At 45.1% G+C, this 7,847-nt stretch overlaps 1 annotated feature.

Annotated features, from left to right (window-relative positions):
* Positions 3,302-4,213: an enhancer, noted in NCBI's record as "H3K4me1 hESC enhancer chr19:32615176-32616087 (GRCh37/hg19 assembly coordinates)". NCBI's record gives its function as "activates a minimal SCP1, AML or CMV promoter by ChIP-STARR-seq in primed H9 embryonic stem cells {active_cell/tissue: H9 hESC(primed)}" and the evidence as "EXISTENCE:reporter gene assay evidence [ECO:0000049][PMID:30033119]".

Below are 7,847 nucleotides of genomic sequence, written 5' to 3'. Positions count from 1 at the left end.
AAAAAAATCTGGCAACTGCGGATGCTTTCTTTCTCCCTTCATTCCTTCCTCCTTCCTTCCTTCCCTCCCCCCTTCCTTCCCTCCCTCCTCCCTTCCTTCCTTCCCTCCCTCCCCCGCTCTCCTTTCCTTCCTTTCTTTTCTCTTTCTTTCTTTCTTTCTTTCTTTCTTTCTTTCTTTCTTTCTTTCTTTCTTTCTTTCTTCCTTTCTTTCTGTCTCTCTCTCTCTCCTTCCTTACTTCGTTTTTTTTCTTTTTTTTTTTTTTTGAGATGAAGTCTTACTCTGTCACCCAGGCTGGAGTGCAATGTCACGATCTCGGCTCACTGCAACCTCTGCCTCCTAGGTTCAAGCGATTCTCCTGACCCAGCCTCCCAAGTAGCTGGGATTACAGGTGCGCACCACCACGCTCAGCTAATTTTTGTATTTTCAGTAGAGATGGGGTTTCACCATGTTGGTCAGGCTGATCTCGAACTCCTGACCTTGTGATCCACCTGCCTAGGCCTCCCAAAGTGCTGGGATTACAGGCATAAGCCACCATACCTGGCTTCTGTCTTTCTTTCTGTCTTTCTTTCTCTCTCTCTCCCTCTCTCTCTCTCTCTTTCTCTCTTTCTCTCCTTCTTTCTTTCTTTCTTCTTTCTTTCTTTTCTTTTTTTTTTCTTTCTTTCTTTCCCCTCTCTCCCTCCCTTCCTCCTTCCCTCCCTTCCTCCTTCCTTCCTTCCTCCTCCTTTTCTTTTCCCTTTCTTTCTTTCTTTTTCTTTCTCTCCTTCCTTCCCTACTCCCTCCCTCCCTCCCCCTTCCTCCCTCCCTCCCTTCCTTCCTTCCTTCCTTCTTTCCTTCCTTCCTTCCTTCCCTTCCTCCCTCTCTCCTTTCCTTTCCTTTCCTTTTTCTTTTGAGCCAGGGTCCTGTTCTGTTGCCCAGGCTGGAGTGCAGTGACATGATCATGGCTCACTGTAACCACTGTAACCTTGAACTCTCGGGCCCAAGCGATTCTCCTGCCTCAGTCTCCAAAGAAGCCAGAACTACAGCTGCATGCCACCACGGCCAACTAATTAAATTTTTTTTTTTTTTTTTGTAGAGATGAAGTCTTGTTTTGTTGCCCAGGCTGCTCTCTAACTCCCGGCCTAAAACAATCCTCCTGCCTCAGCCTCCCAAAGTGCTGGGATTACAAGCATGAGCCTCCATGCTTGGCCTTGAAGTGCCTTCTAATCTTACAGTTTTAGCCTTTCTGAGAATGTCACAGAAACGGAATCATACAGTATGTATTCTTTTGTGTCTGACTCTTTCATTGGCATGACACATTTCAGATGCATGCATGGTGTTATGTATATCAGTAGCTCATTCCTTTTTATGGCTGAGCAGTATTCCATTATATGAATGCTTTACAGTTTGTTTTTTTGTTCACTAGTTCAATGACATTTAGGTTGTTTGTACTTTTTGGGTGATTATGAGTAAATACACTACAAACATTTGGATTCTGGTTTCTGTGAGAACATACATTTTCATTTCTCTAGGGCTATCTTTTTTTTTTTTTTTTTTTTGAGACAAGGTATCGCTCTGTCTCCCAGGCTGGAGCGCAGTGGCACAATCTCAGGTCACTGCCGCCCGGCCTCCCTGGCTCAATCCTCCCATCTCAGCCTCCTGAGTAGCTGGGACTACAGGGGTGTACCACCACGCCCTGCTGGGGGTTATAATTTGTAAAAAACTGCCAAACTGTTGCCCCAAATGGTTGTACTAATTTTGAACCAATGATGTATGAGATTTCCAGAGGCTTCCCACATTTAGCAGCACTTGGTATTGTCACTTGAACAAATTTTTTAAGCTCATCTAACAACTGTGTAGTGGATCTCATCGTGGTTTTAATTTGCATTTTCCTAATGACTAATGACATTGAACACCTTTTAAATGTACTTATTTGCTATTTCTCTATCTTCTTTGGTTAAGTGTCTTTAAAAAGTTTCGCCTGTTTTTATAGGGTTGTTTGTTTTCTTATTATTGAGTTTTGGGAGTTCTTTATGGAATCTGGATTCAAGTCCTTTGTCAAACATGGCTCTGCAAATACTTTCTTCCCGTTTGTGGCTTGTCTTTTAACAGTGTCTTTTGCAGAGCAGAAGTTTTTAATTTTGATGGAGCCCAATTTATCATTCCTTTTTTTTATGGATTGCGCATTTGGTGTCATTTCACCAGCTTTTAATTTTATTTTAATTCTCCTCAGCCTGTGAGCAGCACTAGGGTGTGGTTTCCAGGCAGTTGCTGCGTGGAACCGCTCTTCCCCACTTCCTGCCTGGCCCCTCCATAGCACCCTCCTGGCTATTTCGGTCACCAGCTGGAACCTCTGTAAAGAGGGGCACTGGCACACAGATGTTGCCCCTCTAAAGCCTCTGGTGAAAGGTGTCATGAACAGGACAGCCACTGAGAATGTCTCCCACGCACCCTGCTCTCTGCTTGCCTGCCTCGGCCCCCACTTTCTCAAGATGGAGGTGTTTTCATTCCAGAAACACTGTTGCTTTCATGGCCCTTTGGCTGGGGCCAATACAGTTCACGCCACGGGTTTCTCTAACTTTGAAGATCTGGAAACAAGGCTGAGGCACTGCCTTTTACCATCCATAAGGGCTTTGGACTTAATGCAGAAAGTCCAGGAAGTAGCGGCTTCCCTGAACCTGCAACATCTTTTTTCTCTTGAATCCCAGGACATTGAGTGACCCTCTGCTCATCTTTGCATTGCCTGGATAAGAAGGTGGGTCCCAGCTGCCTTATAGTCTATACACCCAGAAATGGGATTGTAAATGTCCAGCCTAATGGACCTGTCATTTGACCTTTGCTTTGACTGGGCTCCGCTGCACTGGCCCCAAGGAAAGACAAGGTACCTGGGCATGGGTAGGGTCTTTCCATCTTTGCTGTAATGGAGCAGAGATGGAATAAGTGACATCTAAAGTTCTCATTTTTTTTGGCCAGGTTGCTCTCTAACTCCTGGCCTAAAGCCATCCTCCTGCCTCAGCCTCCCAAAGGGCTGAGATTACAAGTGTGAGCCAGCGCTTTAATTTATGTTTCATCTTGGGAGCCAGATGGAACATAAATAAATATCCAACATCTAGCATCCTTGCATCAGTGCTTAGGGAACCTGGCATTAACTGGGGAGCTCTAGGGCCTGGAGGCTGGGCTGTGGAATGTGTCTGCCATGCCTAAGTGGAGTGGCCATTGCCACTGGTGTGGCTGCTACTGTGACAATACTGTTAAAATATCAGCCATTCCTCCAAGACTTAACATGAGTCAGAGCTCTGCAGCTACAGTTGAGGCCTTGCCTAAGTGGCCAGAACCAGAATTCAGAATCTCACCCCAGTTGTACATACACAAAGAAATTTCTTCCTTTGTGTGGTCTTGTCCCCCTCCCAGGACCATCTCATATTATTCCTGGGGAGAAGGGTTTGCTTCAGACCTCAGAGCACTCTTACCTCACTTGGAGGCATTTTCCCCCCGTCCAAGTCTCCAAGACAATACTACAACTTGTAGTGGTTGGTGACCTTCTGCTGCAGTAATTCCCTCCTTTGGGCATTGAAATTGATTTTCTTCCTTGTGGCATGTAAAGATTCAAAGCGTGCCCCTTGCTCCGGGTCCCAGGAGAGTTCCCACATCAGCAGCTGAGTCGGGGACAAGGCCGGTCCTGGCCACCAGTGTGGGAGGGGGAGGAGGGGGTTCCTGTGCATCCGCCAGCCCCAGTCGTACCTGGGTGCCCCAGGGTGGGAACTGGGCATGGATACTGGGGGTTCCGGCTGGGGCACTCTTTGCAGCCGCTTCGTTGCCAAACTGGATTTTGACAAAGGAAAATCAGTGGACACTCATCTTTCAGTGGTTCTTTCCTAGAAATTCTGTATTTGTGTCAGTCCTCAGAGACCGCCCTGTGGCCTCCCCTGACCCTGGGCTCCCCTGTGAGTGAGGAGAGTGACTGGAAGCATGCGAGTTCTGCCTCTATCCTATCCCCTGTAGCTCCTCTCAGTCTCTGTTCCCCACAGGCAGCTTGGTTAGGAGCCCCCTGTATCCAGCACCAGTGTCCTTCCAGAAACCCATCTGTGCTGCCTGCCAGCGCCTGCCCCCTGCCTGTTGTGGCAGTCTGGTCTCCTGCTTTTCCTGTCCCCCTCCTCGAAGGACTTCCCCCAGGACTGGCAGAAATCTTAGCTCTTGGGGTGCAGGGTGGAGGGGAAATTAGCAGCAAGGGGTCGTCTTAGTCTGCATCTCAGCCCCTGTTCTTTTCTGGAAGCTCTAAAGAGCACAGCCCTTCGCCATGTTCCCCTTCCCTTCCCATTCTTGCCCCTCCATTCCTTTCTCTCTCCCTGCCACAGTGATATTTCCAGAGGGCAAATCAGATCATGTCACTCCCTTGCTTAAAACACCTCCTTATTTTCTTGGGCATAAAAGCCCAGCCTCCGAAAATCCCTCATCAGTCTACCCTGGGTTACGATGACCATTTCAAGGTCCCTGTTCTTTCAAAGCCACAACAGTGTCCTCCAGACATGCTGTCCACTTGCAATTCCCTGAAAGCCCTCCCTCCGCCTCCCTCTGGCTCTTGCCTCAGGGGCCTGCACTTGGCAGATCCGACCCCGCTCACCTGTCCCCTCCAGGCCAGGTGCTTCTCCTCTGAGCTCACGGGTCGATGCCACAGATATTTCCTGTGGGCCTCTTGCATGCCAGGTGCTGTGCTGTGGGGAGATGGGGAAACAGGGTGGCACAAGCCGCCCTCCCCGGGGTTTCCATGCCTGTAGCAAGACACAGACAACGAACAGGCAAGTAAAAAAGAGGGTCATGCAAGACTTTGAGATTTGCACTGGGGAAGCAGGCACATTGTGAAAACGGCTGGGCAAAACGTCTCTGCTGTGGTTGTCCCCTCTGAAACTCATGTTGAAATCTGTTTATTTTGCTTATTGATTTTTTGAGACAAGATCTATGCTCTGTCATCCAGTCTGGAGTGCAGTGGTGCGATCATAGCTCACTGCAGCCTCAACTTCCTGGGGTCAAACGATCCTCTTGCCTCAGCCTCCAGAGTAGCTGGGACTGCAGCTACTGTAAAAAAATAGCCTGGTTAATGTTTCTAATTTTTATTTTAATTTTTTTTTGTAGAGACAGGGCCTTGCTGTGTTACTCAGGCTGGTCTCCAACTCCCAGCTTGAAGTCATCCTCCTGCCTCAGCCTCCCAAAGTGCTGGGATTATAGGTATGAGCCACCATGCCTGGCCTTATGCCAAAATTTAATTGTAATTGTGACAATATTAAGATGTGGGGCCCTTTAAGAGGAGATTAGGTCATGAGGGCTGTGCCTTCATGAATTGATTAATCCTGAATTGCTTAATTCTGAATTGATTGATCCTGAATTGATTAATCCTGTTATCTTGTTAGTTATTGTGGAGTGGGCTCCTGATCAAAGGATGAAACTCAGCCCCCATTTTTCTCTGTCTCATGTGCTTCTTTGCCCTCCCGCCATGTGATCATGCAGCACAAAGGTTCTTGGCAGATGCTGAAGCCATGCTCTTGAACTTCCCAGCCTCCAGAACCACGATAAATAAACTTATTAATTACCCAGTCTGTGGTATTCTATTAAAGCAGCAGAAAACAGACTGAGACACCCTCTGAGAGTAATATTGAGTGGGGGAAGAGTCTAGTTCCTTGACGATCTGGAAGGAAGGTGCTCCAGGCAGGGAGAATAACAGGTTCAAAGGCTTAGAGTTGGACAAGAGCTTGATGTGTCCCAAGAGGCACTGGAAGCAGAGTGAGCCTGGTGCATTTGAGACATAGAGGGGATTATTCCAACACCCTCTTTCCTCTATATGCCAGAATAATTTTCAAGAACAATTCAGCAATGAAAGTAATAGTAGTAATGACCAGAAAAGAAATGTAGACAGCAAAAAAGTCCTTTTATTGAACTTTTTATATCTAATCATGCCAGAAGAAAAATTACGATAGCAAAAAGAAAAATACATAATAGATTAATCCTATTAAATTACGTCCATGTGGACAAACTTATTCCCATATATCTGTTGCAACAGTGAATAATGACATCATAGTTCTCACTTTGAGCCTCGACTTCGGCAAATTTGCCAGTGGCTTTGACAACCTTTTTCATCTATACATGTTCACTGTTCACAACAGCCAGATTTGTCAGCTTGTCTTCACTCATAGTTGGTTGAAGAATACTTCTTTATTAGTTTTAATTTCAAAGAGTTTCTTTCACAAGAAACAACAGACATACAAATGGTTATGAAAGTCTTAAACGTGAGGATAATTTTGGCAGAGATGTATAAAAATCCCATCTAAAATATCTCCCCTAGTTGAAAACCACTAAAATATCATCACCAGAGATTCATCATAGATTCCTATTTTATTCAGTAAAAACTTTCAAGGTTTTTCTTCTTTTACAAAAATCAGGAAGAACGGTGGGATGATGATGAGCATGACATGACCAGTTCCATTGCTGTGGGCCATGTGTCCAGTCTTTGGTGAAAATGATCAAGGCTTTGAAGCTTTGCTCTCTCAATTTCTTCTGGCAATGTTAGACTCGTGTCTTTTGTCGTTTCTCCTTGCACTATTTCTCAAAATTTGATTCTTTTTCTATTTCATTTTCTTTTTTTTTTGTATTTGTGTGCTGCATTGTTAATGGCCTTCACCATTTCTTTCTTTCTTTTTTTTTTGAGATGGAGTCTTGCTCTGTCGTCCAGGCTGGAGTGCAGTGGCACGATCTTAGCTCACTGCAACATCCATCTCCCAGGTTCAAGAGGTTCTCCTACCTCAGCCTCCTGAGTAGCTGGGATCACAGGATCTCACCACCACACCTGACTAATTTTTGTGTTTTTAGTGAGACGAGGTTTCACCATGTTGGCCAGGCTGATCTTGAACTTCTGACCTCAGGTGATCCCCCTGCCTTGGCCTCCCAAAGTGCCAAGATTACAGGTGTGAGCCACTGCGCCCTGACTTTCTCCACCATTTCTGAGCATGGATCTTCAAGGAACAGTTTTAAAGCTTGAAGCTTCACTGGACATTGTTCAAGGGAGATTCTGGTTGTTTGCAAATATTTTTTGTGACTGATTAACCTCATTGATCACATCACACCAGGATAAAAAGTACTAAATGGCTCCATTGCTGTACAATTTAACTTTTTTGATTCTCTTTTAGTTTTCAATTAACGATTGAAACTAACAAATTTCAATCTTGAAGACCCTATTAAAATTCAATAAATCATGCGTGAACTAAAATTTGCGCTTATCAAACAAAAAGGTAACACTGTTTAGTTCCTTCTGTTTTAAATTTTAAACATGAATGAACTTCCACACGATCACTTGGGATGACAGACTTGAAGTCATCTCAGTTCTGTTTCTTTGCCTTTGCAATCACTGTGCTAGCATTGTTTGTTTTGAACCTACTGTTTAAATGCAGGGATGTGTAGTTCCACACAGCTTGGGGACAGGGACTGTGCCCAAAGTGAACTTCAGCAATTCTGAGCTGCTATAAATTTACTCTTTAAATAAATGCGTATAGTTGAGTGTGTGTGTCTCAGGAACACATCTATAACTAGGAGTTATTTGAATTAAGTTCCATGTAGAAATCAATGTGTATTAAAATGTAAGTAATAAAAATGTGCTAATTTGAAGCTTGCATCTATATTACTAAAACACAAAGTAATGGGAGTCGTTGTATAGAACCTAAACCAACAATAGATTTGAAAGGAGTATTTCTTTTTTAAATCATGCACATTGCTTAGAATTGCTGGCACATGGAGATAAAAATGCTCCGTAGGCATTGAATACCCTCACTCCTTGCATCTAAGGGGTGGTTTTTCCCCGGCAGGACCACCAGCGCGACCTGCAGAGG

The sequence above is a fragment of the Homo sapiens genome, chromosome 19 (genome assembly GCF_000001405.40).
Source record: "Homo sapiens chromosome 19, GRCh38.p14 Primary Assembly".
NCBI lineage: Eukaryota > Metazoa > Chordata > Mammalia > Primates > Hominidae > Homo > Homo sapiens.
Note: the sequence above shows the minus strand (reverse complement) of the source record. Positions and strands in the feature narration are given on the sequence as shown.